This window comes from Homo sapiens, chromosome 2 (assembly GCF_000001405.40).
Source record: "Homo sapiens chromosome 2, GRCh38.p14 Primary Assembly".
In the NCBI taxonomy this organism is placed as follows: Eukaryota; Metazoa; Chordata; class Mammalia; order Primates; family Hominidae; genus Homo; species Homo sapiens.
The window spans coordinates 162,901,321-162,918,347 of NC_000002.12; the positions used below are offsets into that span (position 1 = coordinate 162,901,321).

Genomic DNA, 17,027 nt, shown 5'->3' on the forward strand with positions numbered 1-17,027 from the left:
TCTTGATTTGATTTTCAGCTTGGTTGCTGTTGGAGTATAGAGGAGCTACTAATTTGTGTAAATTAATTTTGTATCCAGAAACTTTGCTGAATTATGTGATCACTTCGAGGTGCTTTCTGAAGGAGTCTTTAGGGTTTTCTAGGTAAACAATCATATCATCAGCAAACAACAAATTTTGACATCCTTTTTATCAATTTGGATGCCCTTTATTTCTTTCTCTTGTCTGACTGCTCTGGCTAGGACTTCCAGTACTGCATTGAAGAGGAGTGGTGAGAGTGGGCATCCTTGTCTTGTTCCAGTTCTCAGAGGGAATGCTTTCAACTTTTCCCCATTCAATATTATTTTGGCTGTGTGTTTGTCATAGATGGCTTTTATTATATTGAGGTATGTCCCTTGTATGCTGATTTTGCTGAGAGTTTTAATCATAAAAGCCAATATCACCCTAATACCAAAACTAGGAAAGGACATAACCAAAAAAGGAAACTACAGACCAATATTCCTGAGGAAAATAGTTTCTAAAATCTTTAACAAAATACTAGCTAACCAAATCCAACAACATATCAAAATGATAATCCATGATGATCAAGTGGGTTTCATACCAAGGATGCAGGGATGGTTTAATATACACAAGTCAATAAACATGATATGCCACATAAACAGAATTAAAAACAAAAATCACATGATCATCTCAACAAATGTGGTTGTATTGATTTTCTATTGCTTCTGTAACAATGTCATATCACCGTCCTAGGGACTTAAAACACCTAAACTTATCATCTTATAATTCTGTACATTTTAAGTGGGATACAAGTCTCATCTGACTAAAATTAAGGCATCAGCAGGCTGCCTTTCTGGAGTTACTGAGGGGGAATTTATTTCCTGATATTTGGGTAGTTGGCAAAATTCAACGGAATAATTGAGGTCCAATTTTCTTGCTGGCTGTGAGCTGAGAGCTATTCTTGGCCTCTTGGGGCTGCTGCATTGCACTGTTCCTGAACCGTTTCCTCCATTTTCAAAGTCATCAATGAAAGATAGATTCCTTGTCATGTCTCATCTCTCTGTTCCACTTAGCCTTCCTCTTACACTTTTAAGGATTCATCTGATTAGATTTGGCCCATCCAAATATTCACTATAATCTCTGCTCTCAAAAGATTACATCCCGTGGGGCGAGATAATAAATAAGCAGATAAATGAAACAAGATATTTCAAATTTAATTACATTTAGAAAGTCCCTTTTGCCATGTATAGTAACATATTTACAGGTTTCAGTAATTAGGTGACAGATATCTTTTAAGGAGGAGTAATTTTGCCTACTACATTGGTTCATTCTTACCTTTTGGAATTCAGCAAATATATCACCCCTATAATCAAATGTTTCACCCACATCAGCAGTCATTCTTCACTACATTGCTGTAGTACATTTCTTTAAAAGCATTTGTATTTCTCTGAAATATCTTCTACCATTTATTTATTCATTTATTCTTATCACATCCCATTGGAATATCTTTATGAGAGCAGAGATTGATTTGCTTGTTCACTTTCTTATCCCCAGCACCCAAAACAGTACTTGGCATATAGAATATATCAATAAATCGTTTCACATTGAATGAATGCATGATTTTAATTATTTATCATAGTCCAAAATTCCATGATTGCTTTGATGGAAACAATTTCTTGATGTTAACTATTGATAGGATATACTATTAAATGTACTACTCAGTTATTTTTTTTTCTGTTCAAACACATTTTTTTTGTTCCTTCTAGCTAGTATAACCTATTTCATATTGATTGACAAGATTTTTGCATTTCTTTTTTTAAACTCCTACGAAAACAGAACTGGGAAATTTTATGTTTTTATTTTGCTAAATGTGACAGTAAGATATAATGCTTTTCTCAGCAAACCATTTAAAACTTGCTCTCCTGGTCATAACTTCCCATTAAATTTTTAAAGTGGCTTTAAGTTCTTAGATTTAAAAGTCACTATGTCGATGCAAAATATTATCTTTCACTTCTTTGACTAGAAGTAGCCTTAAAATTGCTGTAATAGCTCATGTAAATGTAAAAGTATATCAAATCTCTCTGGGAATAATCAGTTCCTGTTAGGCATAAAGGTTGACATTATTTCCCTTAATACCTTGAAAATATATTCTATCTCAGCATAAGAATGATTCTGCTTCTTATAGATTTGAATCCTTGGTGTGGACTGAATTGTGCCCCTCAAAATTAATATGTTGAAACTCTTAACCCCCAATGTGATGGTATTTGGAGATGGGGTCTTCAGGAGATAATTAGGTTAGATGAGGTCATGGGGGTGGGATCCTCATGATGGGACTGGTGCCCTTCTAAGAAGGGCTTGCTCGCTTCCTCTCTCCATGATGTGAGGACACAGTGAGAAGGAAGCCACAGTCAAGCCAGGAATAAAGCCCTCACCAGACACATACATTGCTGGCACCCCAAACTTGACTTCTAGCCTCCAGAACTGTGGAAAAAAATAAATTTCTGTTGTTTAAGCCAGGGTTCCCCAACCCACGGATGGTACTGGTCCTTGGCCTGTTAGGATCCCTGCTGCACAGCAGGAGGTGAGTGGCGTTAGGCAAGACAGCTTTATCACCTGAGCCCTGCTTCCCGTCAGGTCAGCAGTGGCATTAGATTCTCATAAAAGTGAACCCTATTGTGAATTGCACATGCATAGGAGCTAGGTTGCACACTCCTTATGAGCATCTGATGCCTGATGATCGGAGGTGAAATGGTTTCATCCTGAAACCATCCGCTCGCCATTGGTGGAAAAACTGTCCTCCATGAAACTGCTCCCTGGTGCCAAAAATGTTGAGGACTACTGCTGGTTTAAGCCACCCAGTCTGTAGTGTTTTCTTACGGCAGCCTGAGTAGACTAACACAATCGTTGAATGTTTTATTTATAAGCATGTTCCAAACCACTATTTTTACAAGTAAGGAAAACTACAGCTTCTGAAGGTAAGTCATCAGCTCATGTTTATGTAGGAAACTACTGGAAAAGCCAGAACCATAACCCAGAATGCCACCTCCCAGTCTAGCTCTTTTTCCACTATACTCAACTACTTCGCTACAAATGGGATGCCACATGGTGAGTTGCAACGCTTTGATTATTAATAATTTAAGGCAAAAAGCCAAAAAAGTTCCAGATTTAATTTATAAAGTGGCATAGGTGGTGGGAGGGTTACTGAATGGCCTTTGTTCCTAACATGTAATGACTTTGGCCTTCTAAATGTAACTCATTAAAAGATCAAAACCCAGGAACTTCTAGGTTGTAATTGCAATCTTAGGACTTGTTAGCAACTTAAATAATAATTACAGGGCCAACTCATCTCATGAATATAATTATCTGGTCTCTGTTCTGATGCGATCTGCAAGTACTCATCACTGCTGATGATGGCCACAGAGCAGGCCATGGCAGGGGGCTGGTTTGTCTGTGTCTGGGCTTGACCAGGCTGTTGTGGACTTACCACATAGCAGCTCACACATTCACAAACACCTACAAACAGAGCTGGCATCATTTTTTTGCATTCTGGCCATCTCATATTAAACAATCAAGGGAACCTTCATGGTGATGGTAAAATTAGGAATTTGCTCAGCTCAATGTTGAATTAATGCCTAGCTATGGCTTCAGCATATATGCAGTGTTTTTTGTTATTTTTTAAATTGAAATGCATTATCAATTTCTGATCCATTATATGTAAGGAACAAAACTGTTGATTTTTAACATTTCCTTCCAGGTGAAACATACAACTTAGAACTATTGATCACTGCTCTCTTTGAAATTCTATTGTCTTTTAATTTATTACACATCTCCCTAAATTTTCTCTCAAGATTCTGCCCATTCTTTCTTGGCTTCTTTTTCTATCTTCTCTTCCTCATTAAAATGCTATTCACCTACAAGGTACTGACAGCCTCTTCTTGTTCTATGTGGTTTCCTTGGGTAAGCACAATTAATATAGCTGAGAATAGTTCCCATAAACTGTTTTCTTTTTTTCCCAAGCTTTCTCTCATTCATCTTCTTCCTATAATCTCAGTTTCCATCACTGGCCTAACCAGCATGTCAGTAGTCCAAGATGAATATTTTAAATCTTTCTTGAACTCCTTACTATGGGTTATGTCCCCCCAAATAAATGTTGTAATCCTAATTCCCAGTACTTTAGAATGTGGCCTTATTTGAAACTAGAGTGTTTGCAGAAGAAGTAAGATACAGTCATCAGAATGGGTTCCAATTCAATATGACTGGTGTCCTCATAACAAGAGGAAAATATGGACAGAGACACACAGAGAGAATGCCATGTAATGTCAGAAATAGATACAGAAGTGATGACACCAAAGAAAAGGAATGCCAAGGATTGATGGCCAACATCAGGAGCTAGGAAGAGACAAAGAAGGATTTTACCCAGAGTCTCAGAGGGACTGTGGCCCTTCTGATACCTTGACTCCAGACTTATAGACTCCAAAACTGTCAGATAATAAATTTCTATTGTTTTAAGCCACCCAGTTTGTGTGGCCTTTTGTTATAGCAGACCTAGGAAACTAATGTACACTCACAGCTTCTTCCTACATTTAATTAATCACCAACTCTCATGAAGCATGTATTTATCTCCCCGTAAAAAACATCATAGAGGACTTTTCTGATGCTGCTCCTGTTAATTTCAAACTAATATTTAAGCCATTAGATTTACTATCTACCACACAATGACAAAATAAGCCTTTTATAAATAATCAAAGTGGAAGGCAGGAAATTGGAGACATTTCACAATATGAAAACTATTATTGTTTGTAAATATCCCTCGGCCATCTTTACCCAGGCTTAAGTAAATACAAGGGAGCAATTGTATCATCATGGTAATATTTTGAAATCACATCTCAAATCATTCATTCTTGTTGAGTTAGGTATTTAATAGTCCACAGGCAAGAGGCAAAAATTGCTAAATTATCGAAAGCCCTTTCAGATCCCAAATTGCTTTTAGTTGTGATGGTAATATCCTAAACATTAAAGGAAATCTATGTAGTTTGTGTGTTTTAATTATACTATTTGAAAAGCTTAACAACACAGTAAAACAGTCAGAGTGCCCACAGAAGTATATAAATAAATAGTTCTGGATAAATGAGAAAGATGAAAACTCAAAGCTAGGTTCCATTCTCTTGGTAGCAAATGTCATCAAAATGTGAAACTGTTTTGCAAAAAAGAAAAAAAGAAAAGACAAGCAAACCTGTAAATGCTGCTTTAATTTCCACTGGAGGATTCAGGCCATGACTCAGCTGACTCTTTTCCAGAGATGGCCTAAAGGAAATGAAATTGCGTTTATGATCACATTTGAGATGTTGCTTGAAATGATCTGAAGCAGAAATGTTTATTCTAATGATTAGCAGAAGTCAGCTGCAATGAATGGATCATTTATTTATTCAAAGATACATTGATCTGCTTATAGATACTAAATGGAAGATAAAATTATAAGTAAGAGATCCAAGGTCTTTGATGTTTTGGAAATTATAATTTGATGAAGTTCCTAGTTCAAAGGTATAGGCTGGTTAGGAAGAGGTGGGGTAGGAGACGGAAAAAGGGATGTTATGAGGGCTTCAACTTTGATTGGATGGCTTGCATGGGTCTTCAGGTTTCAGTAATTCCAGCAATCCCTAGGATCTAGGAAGGAGGGACCTAGGATACACTTCTCAGGATCTGGGGAGTGTATTCCAGATGATCTATGAGGGATGCCGTTGGAGAGGTAGAAAGTCCTGGAGGTAAATTTGACTCCTTCAAAAGTACACCCAAGGCCTGACTGTGCCTTTCTTTTTCTGCTATGGTAATTGTAAGAGCAAATGTTAATGACATTCTAAATGTAAGACATCATCCCTATCCACAAGGATTTTATTTTTTTTTTAAACTAAAGAACAAAAAACTCAAAATTGATTGTATTTTTTTCTTGAAAGCCAGATTTGGAGAATAGCTCATTTGATTAGTTGGGCTACTGCCCTTTCTTTCTTTGTTGTATTATCAGACTCAGTTTAATATGCAAATATAGGAGACAAAAAGTCATAGAAATCAGAGTAGTAAGCTAAATATGTGACACTACCAATGAAAAGGTGTCACTGCCAGGCCATGATCAACTGGTCGTGTGTTTTGACTGGTTTTCTGAGCAGGGATGATGTATTGCACATATGCATGCTTTGCCACCTTCCAGAATTTTGGACATTGCTTTGGGGCAGAGGTGTTAGGGGATGAACTGGGAAAAGCCAGCCTAGTTAACCCTTAAACCAGTTAAGGAGTGGCAATATGCTGACTATGGATCTTATAGGCAACAAAACCTGGTTGTTTTATTTGAGACAAGTGGCTGAAACAAATGAATTTTGTATCCACACATGAAATACACTGTGTTATACTTGTCTCAGCAATTGGAACATGGAATTTCAGTTTCACTCTATAGGTTTTAAGCCAATCTGCTGGTCATGCCTCAAGGATCCATGTTACAGGCTATACATGTTTACCCAGCACTTGCTTGCTAGGCTGGAAGAACTTTTTTATTAAATATAGATAAAACTCAACAAAATAAAATCAAGACATGCAATTCCATATATAGTAAACAACACTGCACTGGAAGCTAAGGAAGGAAAACAGAAGTAACCAAAGTTATAATAATAAGTGGCTGTGAATATTTTTTTTCTGTTCATCTGACCTATCATTGCCTTATTTTGCTAATTAAGTCAATGTAGTAAAATAACACTTTGGAATTTGCAGCACAGTATTTACAAAATTAGGCTCTCAAATTGAGACAAAGCTTCTGCAAAAGCAAGATGATAATTCAGCAACCATTTCCCAATATCTATTCTGAATGCCATAATTCAAACACATTCAGGTCTTTATCATCATGCATTTATGTCTGACCCAGATTTCCTGCTATTAACTATCACTTTCCCATGGTTCTTTGGCTAGAACTGATAAAAATATACAAAATGAATATAACTTTCTGCTCCCCTTCCACCACTCTTTCAAATATTTTTTGGAAATGAACATTATTAGAAAAGTAAGCAAGCATGATATGAAAGTTTGAAGTTATTCCACAAATCCTCTGACATCTTGCATTCTTCTGTTAGGAATTGCTTTTCACAGTTATGGAGTTAATGAGAATATTTAGTTCTGATACATACCTTCTAAATTCAAACCTTCTTGACCTGTTATTAAAATCTCTTTCTTAGACCATTTTTCCCTTTCTCTTTGCAAAAGAATGTTGATGGAGACTAATTCTTCCTAAGCAGATCTGGAGGAAATCGTGTGGGGAACTATAAATTTCAAGATCTGAAAATCTGTCTCCCAGTGACAAAGATCTTAAGCTACCTTTAAGATATCCCAGAGGAAACCGAAGGGCTCCTCACCTAAATCCTGCTTCTCATTCCTGAATGCTTCCTTTGGCTCCCCCTGGAATGACTCTGTGATCTCTTTGCAGTTCTCTTCCTACAAGTGGGCATTGGCTGGGAGGCACCATTGTAGGAAGAGAACAGCAAAGAGATCACAACAGACCTGGCTTTCCCCTCATCTTGGTCTCTGCCAATTAGTCCTGTTAGAGTGAGTTTAAAAGACAACTCTGACTACAAAATAATATATCCCATATACTTTATCTTATTTCATATTGATTATATCTTGAACTTATGATCATTTAAGCACGTAAAGGTGCAAAAAAATTTTGAAGAAGAAAAGCATAAAAATAACAAACACTTATTCTAAAAATCTTCAGACTGTTCTGAAACAAGACAAATGATGTTAGGTTATAAAAAATAAATTAATAGAAAGACCTATATGCACATTTTTTTGTTCTGGTGGGGCTTATATCATACACTGGTACACAACATAAGGGATAATCAACTTAGATAAATTCCAGGAAGCCAATTCAATACCCAAGATTCAACAATATATTTATAAATTCAACAAACATAAACCTTAAAAAAGCATAAAATACAAGTTAGAATATTGAATATCATTTTAATATACTTGAAAAATTTGCTACTATATTTTCATAAAAGTAATAATCACTTTTTAAAATATGAATCACAAATTTAATCGATTAAAATTATACGATATTTTGTAACAGGATACTTGTTAGTATAAAACAAATCTATTTTGAAATAAATCCTTGTTGACACCAAAACTTTTCATAGTTATCATTGGTATTACTAAATAAACATGATTTATTTTTAAGTTGATTTTTGTTACAGATTGTCTATAAATATTGATAAAGAAAAATGTGCTTGACTAGAAATGATTGCCTAAAGCTAAACCACCAGGCACACATTTCCCCACACCTCCCAAACTTTCTTTTGTTTTCTGGAATATTTTTTTTCACAGAAAGCAAGTTGTCTTATTTTAAACTGAAGATGAGAGAAGAATTTTTTTTCCAAACTTAAAAACACTTGTCTTTGCAGTATATGAATTTCAATAAGGCAAGTCTGACCTAAGCCAGCTTATACTTCTCTTCATAGATGACACAAAAGACATTTCCCAATCATATTTCTTGGTCTTTAAACTCAATATACAGAGATGAGTGTTCTACAGTTTCCCTGCCTTAGAGGTTCATCTTCATGCTTCTGTGTCTTTTTTTTCTTAGAAACAGGATTTTAAAAATGATTTCTACAAGTGCTTCTACAACTATAGGCAAATATAAGATGGGCAGTTCTAATCTTTGTTATACCACATTGTTTATCTTCTTTCATAGAACAAGACTTATTTCTTAAAGTTTTAAAAAAATTCCTTTAACCTCAAATGCATACTGTATACTGAAAACAGTACAAATAAAGGAATTAAAAAAAACTTTATGTGAAAAGAAGGGAATTATCTCTTCCTGGAAGAGGCTCCAGGAGTTGCTACTGTTTTTTATGGAATACGGTGCATATTTATGTATATGATAGCTATTATAATACCTATTAGCTTTTCATTTCTTGGAATCTCAGAACTTAAAAAGGACCTTAGAGCCATTTTGCATACTCCAGAAGAAACAGCAACAGCCTAACAAAAAGCAAGACCTTGCTGGTACTTGAACCCAGAATTCCTAACTATAGTCAATTATCCTTTCACAAGAGCACAGGTTTGTGCCATATGAGAATAGTTGGTGCTAGGGCTGGCATTCTTTGAACATCAGTTCCCTATGTGACTAGACAAGGCACATGACATGCATTGTTACAATTATCAGTTATCAAATCAGATTTTTACCTTATTTACACTTCAGTGCATACTTTGGGATAATAAATATCAGCTTTCACTTTTTTAAAGAAGCAAATGAAAACATGTATGAAGTATTCTTTCTGCAGTCTTCCTTACATCCATCTACCTCTTCCACTTCCACTACATAAATCTAGGCTGTTCATATCATACCTGCACTATCTCAATGGTCTCTTTACTGACATCTTGTTTACAGTGTCTCTTCATTTCAAGTTACCCTACTCACCACAGCCAGGTTAATGTTCACAAAACTTTGCCTAAATAAACACTCTCCCTTGGCATAAATAAATACTCTCCATTGCTTTCAGAATAAAGTAAAAATTTCTAAGTCTGGAATTCAAAGCTCTCCACTACCTGATACAAATGTATTTCTAACTTCATTTCCTATGTTTCTCGTTTGCACAACATTATAATCTGTATGATCTATTCAAAATGTCTTAAATATCCTTTGCTCGTTTATTCATTCCTAGGATTCAATTCCCCCTACCTGAAACATATTCTCCCATCTTCACTGATATAAATTCCATCTATTTTCATGGTTCTTCTCAATGCTTGTGGCTCCATGGATCTCACTTGAATTCTGCCCATTGGCAATTATTTTAATCCATTCTGAGTTTCCATTTTTTACATACATCTCTCAAACACAACATTATATCAAAATTACTTGCAATGCTTGTACAATGCACATTTTCAGGCTCCATTCTAGATATTTGGATTCAGTAAATCAATGGTGAGCCCACAGAATTTTTGTTTTTAACAAAATTTACAAGTGATTCTGACTCTGGTGGACTTGTGATTATACTTTTAGAAACACCACATAGCAGTTATTATTTGGTTTATTTATTTGAACCTTAATTACACATTCATTTTCAGTTTGCAAATTTCCTATTTGCCTCTCTGATTGCCCCAGTAAGATTGTAAATTAACTGAGGATAATAACAAAATATACACTTTTCTCTATTCTATATAGTACTTAGTATATGCATGAAGCTGGTGCCCAATAAAATGCACTAAATTATCAAACTAAAATATGCTTATTACTAAATTATCTGAAATTGCCATATATATTTGCTAATGTATTTACTATCTGACCCCTTCTGTAGGTTATAATCTGACCCTTCTGTAGGTATAATCTTCATGAGTGTAGAGCTTTATCTCTTATTCACATCTAAATCCCATCGATACTTAAAATGCAAGATTTTTTGCTCAATAAGTTGTGTTTCAAGAAATAGGCGAATAACAGACGAGTGTCCTTCTTCTTTAAATGATTTTCCTCTCCTAGTCACATTTAAAAACCAACAACAATAAGAACTATTTACATTATTTTGTCACTTTTTTTGTTTGTTTCCATCCTCAATTTGAAAGATGTATCTCCAGCTGAAATGTATCACCTCATGCAGTGGATGCTATGATGTGTCATTCAGATCACCCTTCAGAGTGAAGGATTTATTTCTCACTCTTGGATGATTCCTTTAGATGTCAGTTCTCTTTGAGAGTTGCCTTAGCTGAATGAAATTGCTTCATTCAGCTTCAAGCTTCCTTCCAGGAGGAGCTTGCATACAAAGACTTATTAACAAGGGGATAAAAAAGGTCTCCTTGTCCCAACTTGATACCACTCTCATGGACCATTACATTTCGAGAACTTCCCATGGTACCAGTTTAGGCATGTGTCAGGACATCATCCCAGCTTAAGGTCTCCCTCTGCCTAATCACCTTTTGTTTTATGCTCCTCCCTCTGCAAATGTTGATCCCAAGGAAATTCCTTAATAAATCTCTCCTGGCCAGGCATGGTGGCTCATGCCTGTAATCCTAGGTTTGAGACCAGCCTGGCCAACATGGTGAAACCCTGTCTCTACTAAAAAAAAAAAAAAAAAATACAAAAATTTGCCGGACGTGGTGGAGCATGCCTGTAATCCCAGCTATCTTAGAGGCTGAGGCAGAAGAATCTCTGGAACCTGCAAGTCAGAGGCTGCAGGGAGCCAAGACCCTGCTCGACTGCACTCCAGCCTGGGTAACACAGCAAGAATCCATTTCAGAAACAAACAAACAAAAACCCTCTTCATACATACTAATCTGTAGCTCAGAGTTTGCTTCCCAGAGATAAAACTCCATTACTCCAGTGGAGTCAGAGAAACCAGACACGGAGTGGGATTTTAAAGCTGGATCACCTGCCCTTTGCTGGAGATGAAATTGAGGATCCCATTATTGGTAGTAGGTGAGCACAAATAGCCCCTGAGCATAAGGTAGCATAAAATTATTAAAACTTTCATCAGTGGCAAACTGGGACGACTTAATGTGGAAGGGACAGCATTACCTTGTGCAATGCATTAGGCATTTGAGAATTATGGGAGGTATGGTGATTTCAAGGATATTGGACTTGAGTTGCTATTGCTAAGTTCTATCAATATTCTGGTAAAAGGTAACAAGCTAAAAGTGATTAATCAGCAATAAAAGCCAAGTGTGAAAGCCAGAGGGCCTCCTTGGTAGCATACAAATAAATTCCCATCTTGAATAGCAAGAGAGCAGAGAAAGGCTGAGGACCAGGCCTAGAACTGAATTATAGGAGTAGCCAAGTTCCAAAGTAAGGTTAAATTCCCCACCAAGGCAGATGTGTCATGACAAGGTAAATTCTTTGTGCGGAAAGAATAAGATACTGACATCTAGAATGGGGATACCTGAAATGACATCGAGACATCTTGAATCTCCAACACCCCCTCAATCCCCTCAGTTTACAGAAGTCCCAATTAATCTCACTAAGGGTTAGCAACCTCCTTTGTCTAAACAAAATATAGAGGCCTCTTTCCTAAAACATAACAGGTATTCCTCCTTCAGTATTAACCTTCTCTCCCTGACCCTCGACCTCCTTGGCCATCAGGAAAATAATTTAGGCAAAAATTTACAATCACCTAGGTAGGAATGTACCAGGCCTACTAAGGGACAAAAGGAATTACACCTCTAAGGGACACTAGGACCTGACCAACATGAATTTGTATGAGGTGGGAGAGTATGCCTGGGACTGCTCTCTGAGGATGCTGGCCGAAGGTGGGAGGGTAGAATATAAACCTGGATGATATTCTTCAAAGAATCAGAATTAATCACTCAGGAAAGAGCCCTGGAAGATGATATGAATGCATAGCTAGAATGCCACCTAGTAGCATGCCGCTTAGACAGCCCATTCTAAGTGAGGTGGTAATTTTGGAACTGTCAAGGCAGATGGTAGAAGAAGAGATAAAAGTCTCAGAGATATGGGTATGTTAAACATATAATATATGGTTGGAAAGCCCATTGACATTTCTAATTTATGGGGGTGTAGAGGAACAGTAGGATACAGCATTTACTGAAACAATAATGACTATGTTGGCGAGACTGGACCTGGTATTACTGAGAAGTTTATTGCCCTTGTCTCTAGGCCAGGTGAGTGAGAAATACCAGTACAGAACTAAGACGTCTAATAGCAATGGGGATAATAGGACCTAAAACAATAGAGGCCAGATGGTAGCTGTTAACCGTCAGAAGGGATGTGGTCATAATCGCCCTGGCAATAATTAAGACTGGAATTAAGTCAAGAAGCCAAGGAAGCCCAACTCAGTGTTATGGAGGTGGTTAATAGAACACAGTATCCCAGGAGTAACCCTAGGTAGGTAGCCAAAAAGTATATCACTCCATCTATAACACCAAAGATAAGTAATCAGAATCTGAGGGTTACTGCAGATATACTGATAAAAAGCCAAGATGACCTACTCAGTTTCCATTTCAGAGCCAGATTTTGGACCTCAAATTCATTGAAGAAAAGTCTGAGTCACCAGGCGAAAGGGCTCCACAAAGCCACAGCAATTGTACATGGCTATGATTAACTGCCAAGTCTTTTCCCAAAGGGGCCTTCAGGTATTTACTCAGGTAACTGTAGTAGAAAAAGAAAAATAGCTGAACATTTTAAGGAATGTTGGACACAAGGCTGAGATGATATGATACCCTGAGACCTGAAGAGTTTCATGGCTACCCTGTTACGGTGCAATCATATGAGAATATATAATAAATGGCGTCCTGGCCCAGGAATAATTCCCAATGGGTCCATCAGATGTATAGACTCACCCAATAGTCATTTCTAGAGTCCACAAATGTATAACAGTTATATTTGCTAGTTGGTGCCATCCCATATACTGGGTTCTTGGCCTGTGGTTATGAGCAATTGAAACCAAGTGGAAATCTCTGGAAATGCTCTATCCATACCCCTAGCCAAGAGTAAATAAAACACAATATCTCATTCTTAGGGAGTGACAGAAATTAGCATTACCTTTAAATACTTAAAAGATGCAGGGCTGGTGGTCATCATTGTATCTTTATTGAATGTAGAAGCCTTTCCTCTGAAAAACAAAACAAAATATAGTGGACAAATATTGGAGTATAAAGTAGATTACTGTAAATTTAAGAAAACAGTAGCCCCAATTATTGCTGTGATGTCAGATGTGGTATATTTGCTAGAATGGAGTAACATGGCCTCAGAAACGTGATAAGTGACCATTGATTTGATCTGGTGAATGTTGTCTTTTGTATCTTTATTAGAGAAAAAGGAACAGAAAACAGAATATATTTACAGCTTTGCTTGATGGCTCTGGTAGCTATTCTGTCTTCTGTCATAACATAGTTTGAAGGAATCCAGGCTGCCTGGACATCTCACAGAATATCATATTGCTCCACTATTATATAAATGGCATTATTATAATTGGACTGGATGAGCAAGAAATAGCTAGCATGATGGAAATCTTGGTAAGCCACATGTACTCCAGGTTTTGAGCAATAAACTCTATAAAAATTCAGGGTCCCATCGTGTTAATGAAAATTTTAGAGGTCCAGTATGCCAGGACATTCTCTGCAAAGCAAAGGATAACATCATACTTTGTGAGTCCCACCATGAAGGGTGAAACACAATGGCTGATAGACCTGGAGTCAACAGGTTTTACACCTAGGGATATACCTAGTGACCTGAAAGGCTGGCAACTTTGAGGGTTTCTCTGGAGTCCTAAAAAGATAAGTAAGCAGCAAAGAGGAACGGGTCCAGGTGTGGGAGAACAATTGTTCTTACGAATCACAAACAACCCCCTGGCAAAATTACCTTGTTCTGCATGTAGCCCCAGGAGCAGGACCCTATAAAACTTTCCTCCAGCCCCTGCCTCTTTGCAGACAGCTCCTTCTCTGCTGTTATGCCTGCTGCTTTCTCGCAAGGTATCTTCATACTTTCTCTAACAGTTCTGCCTTCTTTACCCATGACTGTCTTAGTAAATTCTTTTACCACTTGCGACGCTGGTCCCAGCCAGTTGCACCCATGACATTATGATGGCGCATACAGGGACTGCTAGAGGACTCCTCCCTTACTTCCCCCCTTTCCTCTCCTCCAACTCCAGCTTCCAGGTGGACAGCATCCAAGCACGGAGACAAGTGAAGGTCCCCAGCCAGGGCCACTTCCTGGCGAATCAGAAGGTCTCATTGTGAAGACTTCTGACGGCTGCCGCCCCATCAGGTGAGAGTTTAGAGTTTTGCTTTCATTTTCAGTCTTCTGGAGGACAAACTCTAATAGCCCTCTGGCAATTGATGACACCTGGTGTAGCCTGAAGAACAGGAGGTGAACAGGTGTGGCTGCCTTGCCAGGGAGGGAGGAAGGCTCTCTCCTATCCTTACTGGTCAAAAGTCCCCAGGCCGTATGTGCGGCGTGATTGGCAGTGGAATTTCGACCAGGGCGAATCTACACGTTTTGGGGGACTCAGGCCCCCTCTTTCTCTCTCTAAGTTCCCACATGAAGACAGCCAGCCACCTTGCTTCGGACATCTTAAGCTAGGTGATCCCCGATAGGGCCGGGAGTGTGAGTCGTCCCTCAGCATTTCCGCGCCCCCCAACAATACCTGGATTGAGAGCCCCGCATAATTTGTACTGGACTGACCTGGGGTCGCTCACCCAGTGTTCATCCAGCGCAAGGCCCTAGCGCCGGGAGATCCTTTCCAATAGGTTGGATGCCCCTTTGGAAAGTGGATCCCTCAGTGGACATAAGTGGAACCCCCTTTCCCTGGCGGGACGCCCTGAGAGAAATTGCAGTTCATGTTCCCAGTAGACTTTGTTTCCCAGTCCCATTATAGGACAAAGCCTTTCCATTCCTTCAGACTCGCTGCCGGGCTGCGTTTTAAGGCTTTGGGATAAATCTGACCCTCAGACTCTCAAAAAGAAACATCTAATTTTCTTGTGTAATACAGCATGACCACTCTATAACCTTCCAGGTCAGGAATCCTCTTGGCCTCCAGGCAGGACCCTTGCCCCCAACACTATTCTGCAGCTTGGCCTTTTCTGTCACAATTCTTTTAAATGGTTTGAAGTTCCTTACATCCAGGCTTTCATGACTCTGCCAAACCTGCTGATGTGCTTGGCCAAATTTTTTGGCCTCACTTGCTCTTCTAACATTTTGGACGAACCTTCTTTTACTCTCTTCTGTTCTTCCCAACCAGATGAACCAGCTGAGGCCACACCTTTCCTTGACAAACCACCTTCATATTCAATTACACTTACTCCATCTGTTCCTTCTCCCTCACGTTACCCCAAACATCCCAACCCTGGATGTCATTTTCCAGTAACTTACTTGTCAAATTTGTGTCTTCCAGAATTTGGCAGTTTCAACTTCAAATGGTGATGTGAATGGGATGTCAGTATCTCCCCAATGATGTCTGATATCTTTACAAATCTCCCCTGGATTCAGCTGGACACCAGTTTTGCCCTGACATGTTCTCCCTCTCTGATGAACCCCTTCCTCCAGCAAGATCCAATATCATAAGTCCCACATTCTAGGACAGTAACAGTAACACACAGGGTCTCCTGATAGACCAGTAACCATAGGTAGGGTCAATTCTATGTCCCAGGCCAGCAGGAAGCAGTTGGAAGATGAGACCTTCACCCCAATGTCAAAGATTTGTCATTGTTGTTGTGTCAGTTGGGGTTGGGGGGTGGGAATGTGGAGTCCTAATAAGTAAGCAACAACAAGGAAGGGGCCCTGGGTAGGGGAGAACAATTGTTCTGAGAGTCAGTTAATCAACTTGCTGGCACAACTACCTAGTTTTGCATGTAGACCCAGCAGCACAACCCTATGAAATGTCCCTGCAGCCCCTGACTCTTTGCAGTCAGCCCCTTTTCTGCTGTGCTGCCTGTTGCTTTCTTGCAACGTATCGTCATACTTCCTCTAATAAATCTGTCTTCTTTACCCACAACCGTGTTGGCAAATTCTTTTACCTCTTGTGACACCAACCCCAGTCAGTCACACCCACAACAGGCTCCAGAGCAGGAGAGGGCTCTGAAGTAATTCCAGGCTTCAGTGCAGGCAATCTTGCTGCTTGGGTTGGGTTATATGACTTGAAAGGCCCTGTGGTTTTGGAGATATGAGTGACTGGAAAGAATGCCATACAGATTTTATGGCAAGCCCCTAGTGGGAGAATCTCATGCAGATCCCTAGTATTCTGGAGATTTGTAGCCTTTGAGAAACGTTTCCTTGTATGATACTGTGACCTGGTATCTGGGCTGGTTTGTCCCACTAACCTGCTTCCTCTTAATGCCCCCCAACCTTATATCTAGAGAATAAAGATGTTCCCAGAACCTATAAGAAGTGAATCCAAGTGACAGAGTGAGCTGTGGTTGATGTATGAGGTTGTACTGCCCATGTCTCCCTTCAGGAATAAAGTATTTATTTCCCTAACTGTTGGGAGGAATAGCATAAGATAGCCGTCAAGTATCAGCTTTTTAGGGGGTTATCCTTGGAAGAAAGTTGCCT

At 38.7% G+C, this 17,027-nt stretch overlaps 1 annotated feature.

Moving 5' to 3' along the window:
• Positions 3,176-3,345: an enhancer, noted in NCBI's record as "experimental_55438 CRE fragment used in MPRA reporter constructs". NCBI's record gives its function as "activates a minimal promoter by MPRAs in K562 erythroleukemia cells, with activity observed for the non-introgressed 2:163761091 variant allele {active_cell/tissue: K562}" and the evidence as "EXISTENCE:reporter gene assay evidence [ECO:0000049][PMID:34662402]".